Source organism: Homo sapiens, chromosome 15 (assembly GCF_000001405.40).
Source record: "Homo sapiens chromosome 15, GRCh38.p14 Primary Assembly".
NCBI lineage: Eukaryota > Metazoa > Chordata > Mammalia > Primates > Hominidae > Homo > Homo sapiens.
The window spans coordinates 74001502-74025767 of NC_000015.10; the positions used below are offsets into that span (position 1 = coordinate 74001502).

A 24266-nucleotide genomic window follows, 5' to 3' on the forward strand; every position below is an offset into this window, starting at 1 on the left:
GCTAATTTTTTTTATTTTTAGTAGAGACGGGGTTTCCCCATGTTGACCAGGCTGGTCTCGAACTCCTGGCCTCAAGTGATCCACCCGCCTCAGTCTCCCAAAGTTCTGGGATTACAGGCGTGAGCTACAATGCCCTGCCTAATAATAACTCTTTTAAGGCATAAGTTCTCTGTATATGGTTTTGGCTGTATGCCATAACTTTGATAACTTCATTAGTGTTCTCATAGTCAATCATTTCTCAAATTTCATTTCAGTCTTTTCTTAAAAAGGTTCTCTTGCTTAAGGTCAAGAGTTCGAGATCAGCCTGGGCAACATAGCAAGACCTCATCTTTACAAAAAATAAAAAAAATTAGCCAGGCATGGTCGGTGGTACATGCTTGTAGTCCCAGTTATTTGGGAGGTTGAGGCAGGAGGGTTGCTTGAACCTAAGAATTTGAGCCTGCAGTGAGCTGTGATGGTGCCACTTCACTCCAACCAGAGCATCAGAACCGGACCCTGACTCGAAAAAAAAAAAAAAGAAATTTTTTTCTCTTGAAAAGTTTTAGAGAATAGTGTTTTCTAAAATTTTCAAGTGGTTTTGATGTTTGGTTTCTTGTTCTGTCACCCAGGCTGGAATGTGATGGTGCGATTTCATACTTGTTAATTTCTGCACTATGGCCAGTTTATACAGTTTGTATGAGTTCTACATCTAAGACTATATTGAGATTTTCTTAGCGGCCTAGGATATTCCTTGGACTCACATATTCCTAGCAATAATCCTTAGAGTTGAAAAGTTGTATTTGTTGTACACACATATATATACATACACAAATATATGTATATAATATATATGTGTATATATGCATATATCTATATGTATATATCCATATATATGTAAGTTCTAGTGCTTGTGTGTGTGTGTGTATCTCCACGCTATTGAAACTTTCTACCTTTCTTTCTTTTCTTTTTTTTTTTTTTTTTTTGATGGAGTCTTGCTCTGTCATCCAGGTTGGAGTGCAGTGGCATGATCTCGGCTCACTGCAACCTCCTCCTCCCGGGTTCAAGTGTTTCTCCTGCCTCAGCCTCCTGAGTAGCTGGGATTACAGGCGTGTGCCACCATGCCCGGCTAAGTTTTTTTTTTTTTTTTGTATTTTTAGTAGAGAAGGGGTTTCATTATGTTGGCCAGGATGGTCTTGATCTCCTGACCTTGTGATCCACCCGCCTCAGCCTCCCAAAGTGCTGGGATTACAGGCGTGAGCCAACATGTCTGGCCGAAACTTTCTACCTTTCCTTCCATTCTGTTTCACCAGTTCTCTAAATGATAATTACAGAGTGGTAACTTCCCCATCAAAACATATATATAGGCCAGATGTGGTGGCTTCCACCTGTAATCCCAACACTTTGGGAGGCCAAGGCCGGTGGATATTTTGAGCCCAGGAGTTTGAGGCCAGCCTGGGCAATATGGTGAAACCCCGTCTCTACAAAAAAATACAAAATTAGCTGGACATGGTGGCACATGCCTCTCGTCCCAGCTATTCGGGAGGTGGAGGTATTCCTCAGAGAGGATCACCTGAGCCTGTCCGTTCAAGGATGCAGTGAGCCATGATCACGCCACTGCACTCCAGCCTGGGTGACACAATGAGACTCTGTCTTAAAAAAAGAAAAAAAGTGGGCCAGGCGCAGTGGCTCACGCTTGTAATCCCAGCACTTTGGGAGGCTGAGGCAGGCGGATCATGAGGTCAGGAGTTCAATACCAGCCTCACCAACATGGTGAAACCTCGTCTCTATTAAAAATACAAAAATTAGCCGGGCGTGGTGGCGGGCGCCTGTAATCCCAGCTACTCGGGAGGCTGAGGTAGGAGAATTGCTTGAAACTGGAAGGCGGAGGTTGCAGTGAGCTGAGATTGTGCCACTGCACTCCAGCCTGGGCAACAAGAGTGAAACTCCATCTCAGAAAAAAAAAGTGTATACACACACCAACACACACATACATGCACACTCTAGAACCTATCTCATCTATCACCACAAAGAGTAGAATATAACTATTCTTCCAGAGAAAATAAAACATTTAGCACACTTTTATAGTTTTTCTTCTTCCCTCTTCCTTCTCACTTTCAGATTTAGTTGAAATAATGTGAACTTTTAGTTCCAGATTACTACCAAATTGTTAATTTTTTTTTCTTTTGTAAACATCCTTTCTGAACAGGTATTAAGCTTCATGGTCATATTACAACGCACTTGTTAGCCATACCTTATACTTTAATTGGTTTCATTGCTCATGATAAGTTTTCCTATAGCTTTTCTTCTCCTTTCTTGAATTATTTAAGGTGATTAATTTTCCATTTGGCAGGAATACTCCATCAAGTAATTAAAAAAATTATTCCAGAGTTTACTTTCTGAGACCTTAAGTGTCTTTACTTGTATGTCCTTCTTTTGCTGTCACATGTGAGGGAAAGTTGAGCTAGGTGTAAAATTCTGAGGTCATAATCACAGTGCTTTCACCTCAGAATATATAAACCTTGCTTCATAAATTTCTAGTCTCTGGTGTTGTAGATGAGAAGTCCACTAATGGTCTATTTTTTCTCTGTGAGTAATCTGTTTTTGTTTGTTAAGGATCTTTATTTATTTTTATTTATTTTACTTTTTAGAGATGGGGTCTCACTCTGTCACCCAGGTTGGAATGCAGTGGTGCAATCAGAGTTCACTGCAGCCTCAAACTCCTGGGCTCAAGCAATCCTCCCACCTTGACCTCCCAAGTAGCCAGGACTACAGGCACCTGCCACCGTGCCTGGCTAATAAATATAGTTGGATGGTTTTCATTTGTTTATTTGTTTGTTTAGAGATAAGTTCTTGCTCTGTTGCCCAGGCTGGTGTGCAGTGGTGTGATCATAGCTCACTGTAACCTCGAACTCCTAGACTCAAGAGGTCTGCTAGCCTTAGTCTCTGAGTAGCTAGGACTATAGGTGCCTGCCACCATGCCTGGCTAATTTTTAAAATTTTATGTAGAGATAGGGTCTCACTATATTGCCCAGGCTGGTCTAAACTCCTGGCTTCAAGTGATCCTCCTGCCTTAGCCGCCCAAAGCACTGGGATTACAGGCTTGAGCCCATGCCCAGCCTGCTAAAGATCTTTATATAATTTTTTCTTTTTTCAATAATCTTCTATCGCCATTGTTGATCTGAAAAACTCAAGTCTTTCTTCAGCTCTTCATCTCAGGGAAATTGTATTCTGCTTTTTAATTTTTTTTTTTTTTTTGAGATAGAGTATTGCTCTTGGAATATAGTGGCATGATCTTGGCTCATTGCAACCTTTGCCTCCCAGGCTCAAGCAGTTCTCATGCCTCAGCCTCCCAAGTAGCTGGAACTACAGGAATGCGCCACTACACCTGGCTAATTTTTGCATTTTCTTTTTAGTAGACACAAGGTTTTGCCATATTGGCCAGGCTGGTCTTGAATTCCTGGCCTCAAGTGATCTGCCCGCCTTGGCCTCCCAAAGTGCTGGGATTATAGGCGTGAGCCACTGTGCCTGGCCATACTTTTTAATATACTGATAGCCCTTCATTTGTTTATTTTATTTTTTATTTTTATTTTTTGAGACAGGGTCTCACTCTCACCCAGGCTGGAGTGCAATGGCACGATCTCGGCTCACTGCAACCTCCACCTCCTGGGTTCAAGTGATTTTCCTGCCTCAGCCTCCCGAGTAGCTGGGACTACAGGTGCGCACCACCATGCCCAGCTAATTTTTGTATTATTAGTAGAGACGGCGTTTCACCATATTGGCCAGGCTGGTCTCGAACTCCTGACCTCGTGATCCACCCGCCTCAGCCTCCCAAAGTGCTGGGATTACAGGTGTGAGCCACTGCACCCGGCCCATTTGTTTATTTTTAAAATTTTTACTACTGTTGTTATATGGATATTGGAACTCCAAGAACATATTTTACATCTTTTAAATTTTTTCCCCATTAATTCTGTTGCTTTGCTTTTTTCCCCGAGATTCTCAGAGAGCTCCTCGAATTGTTTTTCTAACTCGCCAGCTCATCTTTTCGCCGCTGACTCCATTCTTCTATCTGCTACCCCTGTAGAGTTGTTGTGGGTTTTTTTCCCCCCAGCAATCTTTTTTTTTTTAATTGCCAAAAGAGCTTAATGCTCTCAGGATGCTTTTTCTTGGCAGCCTGCTCTTGTTTTCTCATTGTAGTGTGTTCTTAAGTCTCCCTGAAAAACACAGTTGGCATTTACAGAGGTGTATGTTTCCTACACGATCCCCTTTTCAATGGGTACTTGCTCAGTTTGGCTGCTGATTCTCTTCATAGGTCCTGCGGTCTGTGCTATCTGCTCCCATGTAAAAGTTGACATCTAGATTGTTCAGTGTTTGTAGCTAGCGTGGGCTGGCAGCAATTGTGTAAAGCACAATTTATACCCCACATTCAATCCCTGCAGTGGAACAGGGCCGCTCCCCACGAGCCCCAGATGGTGTCAGCTTGTAAGTAGTCCCACCTCTGCTGTGGGGGTCAGAGGTGGATTTCTCTCCATTAGGGATAGAAAAAAACCTTTTGTCTGTACCCATTTTAGATGTCCAGCTAGGTCCCTGTAAATTAGACTAACAAGATATAGATTAACACGAGAAAAGCAGGCTGGGTGCTGCGGCTCACACCTGTAGGCCCAGCGCTTTGGGAGGCTGAGGTGGGTGGATCACCTGAGGTCAGGAGTTCGAGACCAGCCTGGCCAACATGGTGAAACCCCATCTCTACCAAAAATATAAAAATTCGCCAGGCATGGTGTCACACACCTGTAATCCCAGCTACTCAGGAGGCTGAGGCAGGAGAATTGCATGAACCCTGGAGGTGGAGGCTGCAGTGAGCTGAGATCACACCACTGCACTCCAGCCTGGGCGACAGAGCGAGACTCCGTCTCAAAAAAAAAAAAAAAAAAAAGAAAGAAAAACAGGAGCTTTTTAGCATGTGCATCTAGCATGGGTATCACATCTAGCATGGGAATTGTGCATATACCTGGGAGTATCCAGAGATGAGTAACTCAAAGCGTTGGTTAGAACTTCAGCTTACATAGCATCTTAATGAAAGAGAAAGAAATGTTTAGAGAAGTGGCAGGGTAAAAGAAAGGGGTTTTAGGCTTGCAAAGGTGGCAAACTGTTGGAAGTTGTGTTTCTGTTTTGCATTGCTAGAAGGAATACCTGAGGCTGGGTAATTTGTAAAGAAAAGAGGTTTATTTGGCTCATGTTCTGCATGCTGTACAATCATGGCACCAGAAACCTGCTTGGCCTCAGGTGAGGCTGCAGGTAGGTTTTACTCATGGCGGAAGGTGAAGGGGGAACAGGCGTGTCGCATGGCAAGAGGGGAGCAAGAGAGAGAGAAGGAGGAAGCAAGAGAAGGAGATGCCAGGCGCCTTTAAATAACCAGCTCTCCCTTGAACTACCAAAGAGAGGATTTACTCTTTACCACGGGATGGCCCCAAGCCATTCATAAGGCATCCACCCTCATGACCCAAACACCTCCCACTAGACCCCACCTTCAACATTGGAGGTCACACTTCAACATGAGATTTGGTAAATATATGGGAACTCTAATGGAGTAAGGTTTGTTTGTGCGGGCCTACTTGGTGCCAGCTTTCCATCTTCGTGGCTGTAAAACTTCCCTGAGAGAGGAGATTTATGGTAGTTCTTGTTTCTCAGAAGTTTCTGTTTTTTGTCATAAGAGCAAAGAGCGTAAGAGTCAAAAGAGTTTCTGTTTTTAGTCATGAGAGAAGCTCTTAGAAGGCTCCTTTCTGCGTCTGTTGGTTTTCATTTGCCTGCAGCTCAAAACAATCATATGCCAAAGTGGCATATTTTGGAGTGGCATATTTTTATCCCTTATGTCAGGTACAATGGGCAGGGAAGGTTCAGCCAGCAAGAGGGCAGGATTCCTGTTCCTTGAGCACGGTGCATGGCCTTAACAAACCTGAAAAATCATGTGCTCCCACTCCCATTTCACATTGTTTCACAATTTACCAGTGGTTACTGGACAAACTCAACTTATTTTTTCTGCACAAAACTTCAATGCCATAAATAAGAGCTCACAACTTTCCTCTGGTCACAAGTCAGTTAGCAGCCACCTCGCTCTTTGACCCTGGGCTGATTTAGAGCTCACACTGGGGAGCAGCCCCAGAGGTGGCTTTAAACCTGGGACTCGGGGTGTCTGCCCTGGGGTGGCTGCCCTGGGGTGGCTGCCCTGGGGCCATTGGTATTTGCTCCACATGCCTGTGGAGTCCATTTTTTCATGTTCATGTCACACCTACTGTGTTGCATGTTCTTTACTAGGGGGTGGGGTAGAAATATGAATGGACATAGCCCCTCCTTGAGATCACAGCCTGGTAAACAGATCAGCCATTAACAATTGAGGCGGCAGGGTTCCGTGCAGAAGGCTGCATGACTTTGCTGTCTATTGTGACTGCGTTTTGATAGTTACCTTTGTCACACTGTCTTCTGTATTATGTTTGCCCTCAGCAACATGTCGTATCTGGCACAGGGCTGACATCCTGTTTGTGCTCAGTCATTTGTGGAAGGAAGAAGTCAGGCAGGCACAAAGGTGGCTGAGCTCAGAAAAGGCCACTTACCCTGCTGGGATCAGCTGGGGAAGGTGGCTTCCAAGAGGCCATCACACTTAGTGTGATGTATAAGGAAATAGAAAGGCCACAGACAGGAGGGACTGCACGTGCAAGGAAGGGGCACTAGTGAGTTTGCAGCATCTCAGGAACTGCAATAGAAGGTTGATGTGAGGGCAGGCACTAGAAGGGTGAGTTGGGGTCAGATGTGGCAGGCTTGGAAGGAGTCAGGACTCTATGCTACAATTTCCAGAACACTCAGTGTTCTCAGCTTTCTCCTTTGTCATGCCTTCATACCACCTAATCTTCTCACCAGTGACTATCCTCTGGAAGACAATGGGAATGGGACCCTGTGGAGGGCTCTGTTGAAAACCCATTGATGGGGCCGGGCGTGGTGGCTCACGCCTGTAATCCCAGCACTTTGGGAGGCTGAGGTGGGCAGATCACGAGGTCAGGAGATTGAGACCATCCTGGCTAACATGGTGAAACCCCGTCTCTACTAAAAATACAAAAAAATTAGCCGGGCGTGGTGGCGGGTGCCTGTAGTCCCAGCTACTTAGGAGGCTGAGGCGGGAGAATGGCGTGAACCCAGGAGGCGGAGCTTGCAGTGAGCCAAGATTGCGCCGATGCACTCCAGCCTGGGTGACAGAGCGAGACTGTGTCTCAAAAAAAAAAAAAAAAAGGAAAACCCATTGATGGGCATTGAGGAGTGGTGGGATGATCAGAGCCTCTCTCTGCACTCTGGTACTTTGACAAGAGTGGGCAAGTTTGGGAACAGGGATATCAGTATTTCTTTGGCTGCATACTTATTTATATTTCACCCCATTCCACGGAGAATTTGAGGGGATTTATCACCAGATGTGGGATACTTATCCAATAGAAACTGAAGCAAAGAATCTGGACAAGGGAAAGGGAGCCTCATGAGTACACTAGGTCTTAGGTCCAGGTGGGGGTGAGGCCTGCAAGAATGCAGAGATGGAGGGGTGTGGAGACGGCTGTGGTCCCACACTGCCAGCACTTGCCTGACCAGACATTCTCAGGAGTGCTTCCACCCAAGCATGGTGTGGGTCTAGGGCTGCAGGTGGAGCTAAGTCCTGTCTGCGTCTGGGTGTCAGATCCTAAAATTTGCTGGATGGAGTTGGGGAATTAATCCAGCTGAAAGAGCTTGAATTATCATTGAATGGAGGAAACAAAAGGCCTATTAATCAAGTTTAAGAGGTGTGATTGAAGGATTGGCACCTATCCCTGCTTGGTGCTCTCTTGGTGCCCTCTGTGAAGTTAGCAGTAAATTGCATTTTATTGGGGATTGATATTATTGGGATTGCTTCCTGGCCTGCAAGGAGCATTACATGGGCAGAAGAAAGGCTGCTGCCAGGAGTTGGGCAACATGATGAAAGATGTGGACAATAAATGACCCATTTCCTAGTTTTTCTATGAACTTATCTTGAAGGTAGATTTATAGAATAATATGTGGATAAAAGGGGTTTTCCTCCTGGTCTCCTTTGATGTTTTGGAGAAAGAAGCAAGGACTTTATTTATTTATTTGTTTATTTTTGAGACAGTGTCTTGATCTGACACCCAGGCTGGAGTGCAGTGGCACAGTCATGGCTTGCGGCAGCCTCAACCTCCCAGGTTCAAGTGATCCTCCTACCTTAGCCTTCCTAGTTTGTAGAGACGAGTTTTCACCATGTTGCCCAGGTTGGTCTCGAACTCCTGGGCTCCACCCACCTCGGCTTCTCAAAGTGCTGTGATTACAGGCTTGAGCCACCACGCCCAGCCAGAAGCAGGGAATTTAAAGCAGCGCAAGCCAAGATCAGGATTAGGGCTGGTGCTCCGGTCTCACTTCTCCTGAAGGCCAATCGCCTCTACTTTCTGCAGCTATGGGAGTGGGCTTTGCTATTCAGGGATGGAGGCCTGGGACATTTTAGAACAATTTGGGTTTTTTAGTTTTGTTTTTTTGAGACAGGGACTTGCTCTGTCACCCAGGCTGGAGTGCAGTGTGCGATTATAGCTTACTGAAGCCTTGACCTCCCAGGCCCAAGTTATCCTCCCACCTCAGACCCCCAAGTATAATAGCTGGGACTACAGACATGCACCACCATGCCCAGCTAATTTTTTTTTTTTTTTTTTTTTTTTTTTTGTAGAGATGGGCTTTCATTATGTTCCCTAGGCTGGTCTCAAACTACTGAGCTCAGGCAATCCACCTGCCTGGGCCTCCCGAAGTGCTGGGATTACAGGCGTGAACCACTGTGCCCAGCCTTTAGAACAATTTTTAACAAGACTTGAAATTAACAAGCTTTTGGCATAGTGGTGCACGCCTGTAGTCCCAGCTACTAGGGAGACTGAGGTGGGAGGATCACTTGAGCCTCAGAGGTTGAGGCTGCAGTAAGCCATAATCATGCCATTGCACTCCAGCCTGGGCAACAGAGCGAGGCCTTGTCTCTAAAAAAAAAAAAAAAAAAAGAAATTAACAAGCTTTTCTCATTGATTGCTAACTGATAAAATTAAAAACTATTAATAGAACCACCGCCAGCCAGCCAGACAGCCATTGAGCAATCACTTATTGAGCATTTATTTCATGACTGGTGTTATGATAGCTATTGCCAGATGAAAAAGAATGCCTGCCTTCGAAGCTTGAATTTGTGGAGAGTTTCAGCCTATGGATAAGTTGCATGTGTGTGCAGACTTGTACTCTATGGCAAGAACCCAGAGGTCCCAGAAGATACGTTCAGATCAAGTGCTGTGGCAGTTTTCAGAAGGGAAAACTTGTATTTATGTGGGAGGGTCAGGGAAACCCTGATATTTTAGCATTTGGGCTACACCTTGAAGGGTTTATTTGTCTCTATAAGTTGCATCTAAAACAAACTGTATAAATTAGTGAGTTTTTTTAGTTAGTAGCTTAAGCAAAAGCTGGATTGATGGCTGATGTAAGTGCATAGGGGTCAAGCTGGCCTCTGACCTGACCAATTAGATATTCAGATTGTGTCACCAGGAGGTACTTTCTCTGTATTTCTTGTGACCTGGCTTTCTTCCAAGACTGGTCCATTCACAGAAGGGTTTACTCCTCATGGGTGCCAGATGATTGCAACAGCTCCAGAGGTTACACCCTCAGCCCCAAATTCAAGGGGAAAAGAGTGTGAATCTCTCCCAGCATTCCAAGCTAAATCTCAGTGTGTCTTTGATTGGGTCAGGTTCCTCTCCCTGCAAGGGTGGCTCAGGCTAGGGGGGTTCTCAGATTAGCGTAAGCCTGAGTCATATGCTCCCCCAAAGCTCATGGACTGAGAACAGGAATGTGTGGCTACCTAAAGGCAAAGTCCAGTTTCATATTGGTACAAGAAGAAAGAAGAATGTGCCTTTAATACATCTTAGAAAAAATGTCCAATAGCCACCGTAAATGAAAGCAAAGAAGAAAAAAACACTCCAGGTATATGGAAGGCAGTGGAACAGAAACTGAAGTGCAGGGGACAGGTTTGAAGCCAGCCTCAAGTGAAACACCCTGACCCCTTGGTGCCTGGGTAAACTCTTTTCAATAGAAAGCCATCCTTTTCCAACCAGGTTAGGGAATGGGCTGTTCAGGCTGCATGCAACCTTTCCTGTTGACAAAGTGGAGAACTATCCTGCCATTTGAGATGTTTTTCCTGTGCTATTCTCCTAACTCCCACACCCTCCTGTAAGATTATCAGGAAGAGAGAACTGTTCCCTTTGTACAAACAAGGCGAGAGGCCAGAGAGTTAACAGGAGCTTCCCAAAAGGGAGAGCTTGCCAGAGCCGGGGCCAGAACAGGATGCAGGGTTTCCTGATTGCAGAATGGGTGCCCCTTTCCTACTCCTGCTGGACTCTACATTCAGGCAGCCCACAGCTAATGACTGCACTGAGTTGCAAAAAGAATTCTAAAAGTTGTTTCTTAAGAATTTAGAGTGTATCTTAAGTAAGCATGCAATTTAAGCAATGTTGAACTTAATTTTCCCTTTTACAGAAGATAAAGAAACTAAAGTGAAATTAGACTTGCTGAACTTCAAAGAAATAATTCTTCATCTTAAAATATTTTCCTAAAAGGTCCCTCTAAGATTAAGAGAAAAAAACCCCAAGACATTAAGAGGTTGGAGCCATTTTGTTTTTTGAAACAGAGTCTCGCTCTGTTGCCCAGGCTGGAGTGCAGTGGCGCAATCTTGGCTCACTGCAACCTCCGCCTCCCGGGTTCAAGCAATTCTCCTGCCTCAGCATCCCGAGTAGCTGGGATTACAAGTGCCTGCCACCACTCCTGGCTAATTTTTGTGTTTTTAGTAGAGACAGGGTTTCACCATCTTGGCCAGGCTGGTCTTGAACTCCTGACCTCGTGATCCACCCACCTTGGCCTCCCAAAGTGCTGGGATTACAGGCGTGAGCCACCGTGCCTGGCCATTTTTTTGTATTTTTAGTAGAGATGGGGTTTCGCCATGTTGGCCAGGCTGGTCTCGAACTCCTGATTTCAGGTAATCCACCCACCTGGGCCTCCCAAAGTGCTTGGATTACAGGCAGAAGCCACCATGCCCAGCCCCATATCGTTTGTTTTTAATGAAATGCTTCTATTTTACATGGTAGTAACTGAGTCTCTGCAATGAAAGATCAAGATGGTTGGCTTCCATCCTTCTAGTTTTGGTTCCATGTCAATAGGACTGTAAGGTTCACCACTGGTCTTTTTACTTTAACATCACTTTTCCCAAGTTTTGTATTTTGATTGAGCTCTTAATTGGATAGATATTATCAAAAAGCAATTTTTTTTTTCCAAGAAGGACTTTTTTGTTCTGAATTCCTTGAGTCTCTTGGTGTTGAGAATGTCTTTGGGTTACTCTGATACTTGAATAATATCTCGGCTGGGTATAATATTCTTAGGTCACAATCACTTTCACAATTTTGTAGACACTGCTGCATTATCTTCCAGCATCAAATGTTCATTAGGACAGCTCTGGGGTCAAACTGACTTGCTTTTTCTGTCTTTATGCCTAAAGATATTTTTTATTCTTGAAATTTATTAATTTAACCAAGCTGTCTTGGTGTTTAACATTTTGTATCAAATTATTCTGGAACCTAGCATGCTCCTTCAATCTAAAAATTATCTTTATTTCAATTGCTTAAATTACTTCTCCTCCATCTTCCTTTTCTTCCTTCTCATTTTCTTCTTTTTCTTGCTCTATTACTAATAATATCACAATTTGTAATTTATTAACTTTAGGTGTGTTCAGTTTAGTAATATAACAGTACTACTACCATTTAGGGTGGGGGAACTTATTTACTTAATGACTTAATGAATGAGTAACAAAGATTAGAACCACCATATACATTCACTTGATACATATTTTTATAAAAGTGCTTGAGAATATCAGAATTATTTATGTCACACAAGGAGTTACTGCCTGTTTTCTGTGTCACCAGATTCTATTAACATTTAATGATTACCTTTACTCTTTGAATTTTGAATTTTGTAACAAATTCCTGCTGTGGCATATTTTGCAATTTGGTTATGTTCTGCCAAAGCTGTAACAGTAGGTGAGGTGTTTCAAATTTGGCATGACTGAATAGAAGAGCTGCCCGTTCTCACCATATGTTACTCAACTCATATATTGCTATGTTATTTTTACCTTACTCATCAAATTATCTTTTCTCTTATACATGGCTTTAATTAATTGATTATTTTAGGTATTTCCATCTCTGGACATTTCATGTACTGAAAATAGATCAGATTTAAATAAAATAGCTTTATAATCAGTATTTATGTGATAAACTCTGTCTTATTTCTTGCAACATTTACCGGCATGTAAATCCAAATTGAATATTGGTTAATGTTCAGCAATATTCAATACTATATAATTGTAGTGTATTGTTATGAAAGTCAATGAATTTCCCCCCATGATGTACTTTGTTCCAAAATTTGAATCTCCTTTAATAACATATAACACATAAGTTGCTTAAAAAATTTCTCACTGCTGACACTATTTGGATTGTACTTATGACAGGCATACTGGCCATCACCTCAGCATATGAGGATAACCATATTTTAGAAATACCATGCTGGTGGCACTGGGGAGAGCTGATTGGAGCTGGAGAGACCAGAGGCAGGGAGGCCTCTTAGGACATCGTGCTCAAGGAGATAAGCAATAATTGAGGCAAGAACAGAGGCAGTAGCAGTGGGAACTGCTGGGACAGGTTTAGGAGCCAGCATTCTGCCTTAATCATCTTTACACCCTTGCCGCATGCCTAGACCTAGTTGGTACTTAGTAATTTTGGGGGGGTTTTTTTGAGATAGAGTCTCGCTCTGCCTCCCAGGCAGTAGCGCAGTGGCGTGATCTCAGCTCACTGCAACCTCTGCCTCCTGGGTTCAAGTGATTCTCTTACCCTCAGCCTCCCAAGTAGCTGGGATTACAGGTGCCCGCCACCACACTCAGCTAATTTTTGTATTTTTATTAGAGACGGGAGGCCGAGGCGGGTGGATCACAAGGTCAGGAGTTCGAGACGAGCCTGACCAATATGGTGAAAACCTGTCTCTACTAAAAATACAAAAATTAGCTGGGCGTGGTGGCGGGTGCCTATAGTCCCAGCTACTCAGTAGGCTGAGGCAGGAGAATCACTTGAACCTGGAAGGCAGAGGTTGCAGTGAGCCGAGATCATGCCACTGCACTCTAGCCTGGGTGGCAGAGCGAGACTCTTTCTCAAAAAAAAGAAAAAAAAGAAATCATTGAAGCCATAGAGGACAGGGAGGCATCCAGGAGTGGCCATTGAATGGTGGTGCCATTCCCCACCATAAAGATGGCAGGAGAAACAGGGAACCCACGTGGCAGTGTACCCACTGCCTGTTGAATGAGTGACATGATCCAGGGGAACACTGCCCACTATGGATACACCAGCCATATGCCTTGGGAGCAGGTACCTGTGTAGAAAAGAGTGGAGAAGAAAAAGCACAAACTTTCTCCTCCCCATTCCTGGGTGTGGCACCAGCATCAGACAGGAGTTCAAACAGTGCTTCCTTTCACCGCTTTCCTTGCTGCTTTTCTATTCTGGTATCTTCTTCTCCAAGACCTCAGGCTTTCCCCTCTCCAACACTACCTTCTCAGCCAATAAATCACTGGAGGGGAGGTCCATAGGAATAATGCATTCACTCTCTTCAAATATCCCAGGCTCTAGAATTACCCATCTCCTCTCCTGGTTTCAGAAATCTTGTTTTTTCAATGGTGAGATAGCAGGAAACTGATCTGGTAAAATGCATTCATACTACTGTATAAATGATTGATGGATCCTTTTAACTGTAGTTACTTGAATTTCCAAAAGAGCTCTCTTTTACCACTCTACCAAAGTGAAAGTGCCAAGTTGCTGCATGGAAATGGGACAGGTAGAGGAGAGTTTTTGGTCACCATTCAGGCAAGCCAGGTGGTACCAGCTCTCCTTCACTGGTCCTATTTCATAACATTTTTGCTTCTTGCATTTTAGAGCTACCAGTTTCCTAGAACAGCAGAAGTAGCATGCTCCCCTGGCCCAACCAACAGGTGCGGCTATAGTGGCCTATCTGTACTGGGGAGGGGACACCCCAAATCTGACATTGACAGGTTCACCCAACAGCAGGGATGTCCTGTGCCATGTGTAATACCCCCTCTTCTTTCATAGCTCCAGAATGTCCAATGACTACATAGCACTGTGCTGAGTCCTTCACATACACCAGCCTGTCTTTGTGCTTGTAACAGTCTATAAGGGAAGCATTATTACTCCCATTCTACAGGTGGGGAAATTAAGACTCAGAGAGAAAAGGTAATTTGCTCAAGGCCTTGTAGCTAGAAATTTGGAAGAGCTAACACATACCACTCTTGGCATAGCAGTTTAGACATGGACAGCTTTAGGATGGGGAGACTGAGAACCCAGGAAACACGTTGAGGCTTCTATTAAAATACACTACTCGGCCAGGCGAGATGGCTCATGCCTGTAATCCCAGCAATTTGGGAGGCCGAGGTGGGCAGATCACGAGGTCAAGAGATTGAGACCATCCTGGCCAACATGGTGAAACCCTGTGTCTACTAAAAATACAAAAATTAGCTGAGTGTGGTGGTGCACGCCTATAGTCCCAGCTACTCAGGAGGCTGAGGCAGGAGAATCACTTGAACCCAGGAGGCAGAGGTTGCAATGAGCCGAGATTGCCCCACTTTACTCCAGCCTGGTAACAGAGCGAGACTCCATCTCAAAATAAATAAATAAATAAAAATAAATAAATAAAATAAAATACACTACTCAGGAGGCTGAGGTGAGAAGATCACATGAGCCCAAGAATTCAAGTCCAGCCTGGGCAACATAGCAAGACCCTGTCTCTGAAAAAAAAATTAACAGTGTGGCTATTTCACTGAATAATCATAAAGGGATAAATGAAACAATACATCCCAGAGACGAGAAAGAGCTTTGTTGTAATACCTAGATGGGATGTTCTTTGAGTGTTCCCCATTGCTTCCTATTTAAAGTCCAAACTCCTTTACTTAGAATTGATTATAGAAAGTTTAGGAAAATCTAAATAGGTGAAAAGGAGGGATGAGAGAAAGAGGAAACTACTATCACTCTAGACCTTTTCCTTTCCTTTTTGCTATCTCTGTGATCATCTAAAACAAAATGAACAACATTTAGTGTTGTATAACTTGCTTTTCTTATAAATAGTCATGAAGATCTTTCAAAAAAATATACAGTTTTGAATTTTTTAGGCAGTGGCATCTTTTTTTTTTTTTTTTTTTTTTGAGATGGAGTCTCGCTCTGTCGCCCAGGCTGGAGTGCAGTGGTGCGATCTTGGCTCACTGCAAGCTCCGCCTCCCGGGTTCATGCCATTCTCCTGCCTCAGCCTCCTGAGTAGCTGGGACTACAGGCACATGCCACCATGCCCGGCCAATTTTTTGTATTTTTTAGTAGAGATGGGGTTTCACCATGTTAGCCAGGATGGTCTCGATCTCCTGACCTCGTGATCCACCCACCTCGGCCTCCCAAAGTGCTGGGATTACAGGCATGAGCCGCCGCGCCCGGCCGGGCAGTGGCATCTATTGATTGTATGGTTTCTTTTATTTCTTCAGTAATTATAGTGTCTTTACTATGGTGAGAGTAAATAGTCCACTGTGTTTTCTCCTTCGAGATGTAATTTTACACATTTAACTTTGTGATTCATTGGAAGCATATATGGGTATGAAACAAGAAGCAAGGCTCTAACTTCATTCCTGCCCCCTACCCTCCTCCCTAGCCAATTTCTCTGATTCCAATTGTTGAAAACCCCTTTAATGTCCATCAGTTTGGGCTGCTGGCTGGGCGCAGTGGCTCACGCCTGTGATCCCAGCACTTTGGGAGGCAGGGGCTGGCGGATCACCTGAGGTCAGGAGATCGAGACCAGCCTGGCCGGCATGGTGAAACCCTGTCTCTACTGAAAATACAAAAGAATTAGCCAGGTGTGGTGGCGTACACCTGTAGTTCCGGCTGCTTGGGAGGCTGAGGCAGGAGAATCGCTTGAACCCAGGAGGTGGAGGTTGCAATGAGTTGAGATCACGCCACTGCACTCCAGCTTGGGTGACACAGTGAGACTCTCTCAAAAAGAAAAAAGAGAAAAAGATGGGTTGCTTTCTTTGTTATATAAAATATTACATTTCTATAGATGCCAGGGACTACATCAGGCCTATCTGGTCTGTTCTACTGATCCTTCTCTTGACTCTTGAACTAGTACCATATTCTCTTAATAATGGCATTTCTATAATGTGTTATCCCTTCCTTACACTGATTCCTCAAACATTTCTTAGCAGCTGGTCATAGTGGCTTAGGCCTGAAATCGCAGCACTTTTGGGGCCAAGGTGGAAGGATGACTTGAGCCCAGGAGTTTGAGACCAGCCTGGGCAAAATGTTGAGACTCTGTCTCTATAAAATTAAAAATTTTTTTCTTAGCTATTTTATCTGTTTGTTCCTTCATATGAAATTTAGAAACCTAGCCAGGCGTGGTGGCTCACGCCTGTAATCCCAGCACTTCTGGGAGGCTGAGGCGGGTGGATCACCTGAGATCAGGAGTTCGAGACCAGCCTGGCCAACATGGTGAAACCCCAGCTCTACTAAAAATACAAAAAAAATTAGCCAGGCATGGTGGCTCACACCTGTAGTCCCAGCTACTTGGGAGGCTGAGGCACAAGAATCACTTGAACCAGGGAGGCAGAGATTGCAGTGAGCCAAGATTGTGCCACTGCACTCCAGCCTGGGCAACAGAGTGAGACTCAGTCTCAAAAAAAAAAAAAAAGAAAAGAAAAAGAAAGAAAAGAAATTTAGAATACTTTGGTTAAGTTTCAAAAATAATTTAAATTGCCTTAAACCTGTTTATTAACTCAAGGAGAATTAATAATCTTATAATATTTAGTCTTATCTCTTAGTAGGTTTTTGTCATTTTCTAGGTATTTTGTACCTTCTTTTTTTTAATTTAAAAAAAGTTTTTTAGAGATGGAGTTCTTGCTGAGTTGCCCAGGCTGGCCTGGAACTCCTGGGTGTAGGCAATCCTCTCACCACAGCCTCCCTAGTAGCTGGGACTATAGGCACACAATCATGGCTTTGTAGAATTTTTTAAATAGCTGCTGTGAATGGGAAGATGGATTTTTTTCCCATATTTCTTCTCATTTGCTTTGCTAAGATAGAATTATGCTATTTTTCTTTCTTAATTATTATGTAATCTAGCCACTTTGGTGAGCAATTTCTTATTAAGTTAGTGGTGTTTTTGCTTATTGTTTTGAGTATTCCAGAAGCAAATAGATGTTATTTCGCCTTTCTGAAGATACGGTTAAGTCTGGGTTCTTGTCACGGAGCCCTTCTGGGCAGTTTCCCACTTCACCTCTGCCTCCTCCAAAGTGCCAAGCACGCAGCAGGTACTCAGTGAGTGTCCTCTGAATGAAGGTAAAGGAACCGCTTGGCTAAGGTCATTCCTGGCCCTGGGTGGCAGCCCTTTGATTCAGGATCTGCACCTCAGTCTTACCAGAGGGCTGGGGGCTTTTAGACCCAGGTGTCTGATTCAGGCTAGCCACCTCACAGACACTTGCCGCCCATTTCCATCTAGAGGGAAAGCAGGGGCCAGTCACCCTAGGGAGACCCCATTCAGGACAAAAGAAGCTTAGAAAAAGGACCCAGCGGAGGCTATGGCCATCCAGAACGTCTTGCTCTCTATCCAGCCAGGCTGCCTGAGGCGTGCCCTTCCAGGCTTGGAACCCTGTCTCCAAGGAAGGGGATCCAACATCAGACACAGCCCCTCTCCCCAAGTGTCCAAGATCCAAAGGGGGAAAATAACAACTGTTTCTTATTCTCTTCCCTTTATTCCTATACCCTATAGAATTGCCCACATTTATTAGTATTCTGTTTTTTAATTTCAAAAAAAGGAATACATTCATACATTCACAAGGCTCAAACATAATCTAAAAAGGTATGCAGTGAATGTCTTACTCTACCCTCATTCCACCCATCCCATAGCCACTTTTATTAATTTGCATGTCCTTTTAATATTTATTTATTCAAATACAATCAACTATGAAGATATTCTTATTTTTCCCCATTCTTACACAAAAGGTAGCATCTGATACACACATTTCTGCACCTTGATTTCTAACTTAAAATATATATCATAATAATACAAATAGTTAGCATTTATTGAACACTCATTGTATGCCAGTCATTTTTCAAACTTTTATCCATATATTAACTCATTTAATCCTTCCAGTACTCCTATTATTAACCTCATTTCTCCATGGAGAATTTTCCTTATCAGTATATAAAGAGCTTCCTCAATGGCTTACAGCTACATAGTATTCCGTTGTATGGGTGGATCATAATTTATGTAACTAATTGCCTTGTGAGGGACACGTGGGTGGCTTCTAATTCTTTGCTATTGTGGACTGTGCTGCAGTGAATATATTGTATGGATATCATCTTGTTATGTGTAGAGATAGAGCTGCAGAGCAGATCCAAAGAAAGAGGATTGCTGGGTTAAATGCATTTGTAATTCTGATGGGTATTGCCAAATTGCCTTCTGTAGAGTTATTAGTTCTTTTCATAATTGCTTAGTATTTCTAATTAAACGTAGCATTGATGAGCACTATGTATCAGTCTGGCTGGCTAGTAGGCTCTCTGTTGGTGGTTCCAGAACAAGTTGATCTCAGTGTAGTCCCAGATGAGACCCTTTCTTCTGGCCTCAGGTGGGCTGACTTATTCCTTTTTTTTTTTTTTTTTTTTGAGATGGAGTCTTGCTCTGTTGGCCAGGCTGGAGTACAGTGGTGCAATTTTGGCTTACTGTAACCTCCACCTCCTGGGTTCAAGCAGTTCTCCCACCTCAGCCTCCCAAGTAGCTGGGATTACAGGCGCACACCACCAAGACTTATTCTTATCACTGCCGGTGAGAGTAAATTACAGCAATATTTCTGGGGAACTAACAGTATTTTCCCTGGTAATATTTGAAGAAGCAGCCTTGTAATGGTTAAGAACATGGACTCTAAGCTGGACTGCCTGGGTTTTTATATTTTCTTTCGCTGCTGTAACAAACTACCACAAATTTAGGGGCTTAAAACAATGTAAATGTATTCTGTTATGGTTCTGGAGGTAAGAAGTCTGAAACAGGTCTCACTGAGGTATATAAAGGTGTCAGCAGGCTTTGCTCCTTTGGGAGGCTCTCAGGGAGAACGTTTTCTTGCCTTTCCCAGCTTCTAGAGGCTGCCCACATTCCTTGGTGCATGGCCCCTTTCTGTCTTCAAAGCCGGCAACATCACAACATTCCCACCTCTGCATTCATCACATCACATCTCCTCTCATTCTCCTGCCTCCCTGCCCTTTCCTTTGAAAGGATTCACGTGATTACGTTGAACCCACCCAGATAATCTAGAATAATCTCTTTATCTCAAAGTCCTTAATTGAATAACACCTGCAAAGACCCTTTTGCCATAGTAAGGTGACATATTCACAGGTCTCAGGAATTTGCACGTGGACATCTTTAGAGGCCACTATTCTGCTACTACAGTTTGCATCTAGACTCTACCACTTACTAATCGTGTGATCTTGAACAAATTATTTTGCCTCTTGCACCAGTTTTCTCATCCTTAAAATGGGGATAATAATGGTATCTATTCCACTGGATTGTCAGGAGGATTGAATGAGTAAATATTTGCCAATGCTTATAATAGTATCTGAGACACAATAAATGCTATGGAAGTATCTGCTAGCTAAAATATATTAACCAGGCCAGGCACGGTGGCTCACACCTGTAATCCCAGCACTTTGGGAGGCTGGGGCGGGTGGATCACCTGAGGTCGGGAGTTCAAGACCAGCCTGACCAACATGGAGAAACCTCGTCTCTACTAAAAATACAAAATTAGCCGGGGTGGTGGCGCATGCTTGTAATCCCAGCTACTCGGGAGGCTGAGGCAGGAGAATTGCTTGAACCCGGGAGGCAGAGGTTGCGGTAAGCTGAGATGGTGCCATTGCACTCCAGCCTGGGCAACAAGAGCGAAACTCCATCTCAAAAAAAAAATAACCAAATAAAAATATTAAAATACAAACACTTTGATCTAGCAGGCCTATATTTATAATCTATTTCATAGGAACAAAAGCTTCCATGATTAGGCTATATAACTTGGATATTACTAAAGTGTTGTCCATATTGGCACCAAAAGAAAAAAAAAAGGAAAGGAAAACGAAAGAAAGAAAATGCACAAACAGGAAATTACCTGAATGCCAGCAAAACGACAGTGATTGAATCAATTGTGGCCCATCTGGGATATACCAGAGCTATTAAAGAGAATACATCTGATCTGTGCCTATGCACCTAGAGGAATGCTCTGAGTGAAAGTTCGTTGAGAGGAGGAAGTTCAAAGTAATTATATGACTTGATTTATTTCTTTCTTTTTTTTGAGACGGAGTTTTGCTCTTGTTGCCCAGGCTGGAGTGCAATGGCACCATCTGGGCTCACCGCAGCCTCCGCCTCCCGGGTTCAAGCAATTCTCCTGCCTCAGCCTCCTGAGTAGCTGGGATTACAGGCATGCGGCAACACACCCGGCTAATTTTGTATTTTTAGTAGAGACGGGGTTTCTCCATGTTGGTCAGGCAGGTCTTGAACTCCCGACCTCAGGTGATCCTCCCGCCCCGGCCTCCCAAAGTGCTGGGATTACAGGCGTGAGCCACCGCGCCCGGCCGATTTCTTTCTTTCTTTTTTTTTGAACAAACATCAGCCCCCAAAATTATTGTAGATATCTAGGTCAATCATTTAACATGTTCTGTTTCTTCCTCTGGGAAATATGTATAACGACAATTCTCACTCAAGGGGCTCTTGCAAAGGTTAAGTGGCATGGCTGACATGTGTCAAGTCTGTACCATCCTGCAAGCAGCAGCCCAGTCTGGCATTTGTGTAAGGCGGTTTCAGTGGAGAGATGTGTGGAAGGGTGCACCCCACGATGCTCACCTGGTGCTTCCTCGGTGGGGAAGGGAAATTCAGAAGTGGTGGAAAGAGATGATTGTCGTTTCGTATATCTTTGTATTGTTTCCCGGATGTTGAAATTGTTACTGTAGTAACTTTTTATACTCATGTGTTATTGGTAGTTTGGATACTATCACCATAACCACAAACACTGAATTAGGAAAAGCAGAAACCTAGAAACATGCCATGATTCAAAGTCTGGTATTTTTGGAAGAGGAATTTAATAACGAACGTTTTAAGAGGAAAAAGTCAGGAGAGTCCTAACCCAGGCCAACCTTGTGTGTCCACAGCATCTACTGCCGAGGATGTTCCAAGCCGCTGTGCTGCTCGTGCGCGCTCCTTGACAGCAGCCACAGTGAGCTCAAGTGCGACATCAGCGCAGAGATCCAGCAGCGACAGGAGGAGCTGGACGCCATGACGCAGGCGCTGCAGGAGCAGGATAGTGCCTTTGGCGCGGTTCACGCGCAGATGCACGCGGCCGTCGGCCAGCTGGGCCGCGCGCGTGCCGAGACCGAGGAGCTGATCCGCGAGCGCGTGCGCCAGGTGGTAGCTCACGTGCGGGCTCAGGAGCGCGAGCTGCTGGAGGCTGTGGACGCGCGGTACCAGCGCGACTACGAGGAGATGGCCAGTCGGCTGGGCCGCCTGGATGCTGTGCTGCAGCGCATCCGCACGGGCAGCGCGCTGGTGCAGAGGATGAAGTGCTACGCCTCGGACCAGGAGGTGCTGGACATGCACGGTTTCCTGCGCCAGGCGCTCTGCCGCCTGCGCCAGGAGGAGCCCCAGAGCCTGCAAGCTGCCGTGCGCACCGATGGCTTCGACGAGTTCAAGGTGCGCCTGCAGGACCTCAGCTCTTGCATCACCCAGGGGAAAGGTAAGCACGCACGCCACCTTCCTGGGCGGCCTGTGCCTCTGCTGCACCCTAGGGAAGGCGAGTCAGAAGAGATCATCTCCATTTGACAGAAAAGAAAACTGGGTGTTTATTCAGTCTTTGGGGGTTGGTAAGGTCTTAGGTTCCAGGGCACAGGATAAGGGGGAGATGAGGCCCTGACAAAGGGCTGCAGCCACCCAGAGGGGACACATTTTACTAATTTACAAGACTCTGTGGATTGACCTAGCGATGACTCATGGGGAACACGTGAAAGTTGAAAAACTGCAAAGCTGAGAATCAGACCCAGTATCATTTTGGCGCCAGAGGGACCAAGCACTTCAGGAGGTTCTCTTAAGCCACCGGTGTCTCGGAACAGAGAAGTCAATTGGGACCTGGGGTTACGGTAGAAGGGGGCTAAGAAAACCTCCTGGGGATGGTTGGATGCTTACCCAAAACCATACAGTGGCTCAGTGGAGGAGATCCCTTGTCTGCAGGATGACCTGCTGTCTGCCAACCTTTGCGCGCCCTGCCTAGTGTTGGACGCTTGAGAGGTAAGGAGACACAGACTAGTTTCTGATCTCAAGGAGCCAGAGCCACTTCACGTAGCTGGAGAATGAGACAGTGCTCAGCTCTGCAATCCAAATCCGGGAGATGTAGCAGCTGTGTATTAGCTGGAACAGGGGGGCTTTCAAAATAAGGGGTAGGGGGAGTGTGCCAGAGAGTCTCCAGGAGTCTTTGACTAAATCTCCAAGCTGGAATGTGAGCTCTGAGCAGCTAGTATAGGATGCCCTTACTGGGAAAGGGGAGGGAGGCTATGGAATCTGAAGGCACCTGGGTAGGGTGCCAGTGACAAAGAGCTTATTTACTTCTCCTGGAGCTGGACATGGGTCATGAAGGATAATCTTAGAGGGCCTGGACCTGTGCCTTCTCCACCTAGGTAGTGAATGTCACCCATATTAAGGAAATGACCCCACAGAGTTTACACAGCTTGCCTTGGGTGTTATAACTGGGCAATAGCAGAGAGAAGGGTTATTTTATTCTGAAGCATAAGAGATTTAGATTTAATAAAAACCAGGCTGCAGATAAGGAAGATCATGGAGCTCTCACTATATGTAGAGAGTCAGTGAGCCGGTAGTGATGGCTTTATGATTGCGCACACTTAGCCTTGCTGTTGGCTCAGAGATGGAGAGAGGTACACTTGGGGTTTGGAGCCAAAAGCAAGCACTCTAATGCCACCTCCTTTTCCCTTCTGGCTGGGTTCCTGCCCACTGCATTCGAGAGAGCTCTCCTTCCAGCTGCCCCTCCAGGGAGTTGTCCAGTGCTTTGGGATGCCCTGGAAAATAGGTATCCTGGAAAAGCAACAGGGACCTCCTCTCTATCACTGTCCCAGGTCAGGATGTCCCTTACCAGCATGTCCTTGACCTGCCTGTGACCTTCTTTGTGTTCTACAGATGCAGCTGTATCCAAGAAAGCCAGCCCAGAGGCTGCCAGCACTCCCAGGGACCCTATTGACGTTGACCTGGTGAGATGGGTTTGAGGTCTGAAGGGGTGGTGGTGGGGCCCAGCAGGTCAGGCAGGTTGTGAGTCCTGCTGTCCCTGTGTGTGCAGGGAGAGCGTCTGAGTGAGGGACAGCAAGTGGCTGGACTGGAAATTTCAGTGAGAGGAAGTAAAGGAAGACATTAAAGAAGGGTTGGCTGGCTAGCTGGCTCTGACTCTAGGCTCCTAAATGCCAAAGTTGCTCTTGATGGGCCATGAGCCAGGTTCAGTGGGGGTTAGATGTGGGGTAGACAGTCGGCCACAGATCAGGGCTGCTGCAGAGGGAATTCCAGCATTAGATGGCATATTAGTGCCTTCCAGCCATGAGAAACTATGGTTGTCAGATGTATGGTTAGATATAGGGTCAGCAGTCCTGAGGGATGTGCAGATGTCCTCTCCCCTCCTACACCCTACCCCCAATGTGGGAGCCTTCTCTTGGAGTCAGAATAGGTGGGCCTTCCCCTGCTCTTTCCCCACAGATGGTTCTTGGAAAGGAACGGGGAATGGTGCCAGGAGTCAGATTTCGATCCCAGTTGCCCGGGTTCTGCTGGTGTGATTCCAGGGCCACCATACATGTAACAAAGCAGACTGTCTCAGGGTTCAAGGTATCCATGTCCCATCTAATGCTGGCATTCCTTCTGCAGCACCCCTGACCTGTGGCTGTCCAGCTTTCATGTACACATCTCCAGGGACAGGAAGCTTGCTCATTCTAGAGGCAGCTGCTCCCAACTCTGGACTGCTCTGACTTAGAAAGTGCTTTTCCGAGTGGAAATGCAGTGGTGTCCCTTTGACTTGCCCCCTTTGGCATTCACAAGTATGGCTCCTT

At 45.1% G+C, this 24266-nt stretch overlaps 1 protein-coding gene across 9 annotated transcripts in view, besides 2 other annotated features; it reads left to right on the plus strand.

Annotated features, from left to right (window-relative positions):
- The window catches only part of PML (PML nuclear body scaffold), a 53112-nt gene that overhangs the window by 6786 nt on the left and 22060 nt on the right, over nt 1-24266 (plus strand). For all 9 annotated transcript variants that reach the window (NM_033238.3, NM_002675.4, NM_033249.3 and 6 more), the window contains exons 3-4: nt 21327-21907; nt 23356-23426. In NM_033238.3, coding sequence (NP_150241.2) covers nt 21327-21907; nt 23356-23426 — 652 coding nt within the window. The remainder of the gene's footprint in view (nt 1-21326; nt 21908-23355; nt 23427-24266) is intronic.
- Nucleotides 5441-5740: an enhancer, noted in NCBI's record as "active region_9739". NCBI's record gives its function as "activates an Ori minimal core promoter by ATAC-STARR-seq in GM12878 lymphoblastoid cells {active_cell/tissue: GM12878}" and the evidence as "EXISTENCE:reporter gene assay evidence [ECO:0000049][PMID:35858748]".
- Nucleotides 17688-17858: a silencer, noted in NCBI's record as "fragment chr15:74311530-74311700 (GRCh37/hg19 assembly coordinates)". NCBI's record gives its function as "represses an EF-1alpha promoter that drives an FKBP-Casp9 reporter gene in an ReSE screen in phorbol 12-myristate 13-acetate-treated (for megakaryocytic differentiation) K562 erythroleukemia cells {active_cell/tissue: K562(+PMA)}" and the evidence as "EXISTENCE:reporter gene assay evidence [ECO:0000049][PMID:32094911]".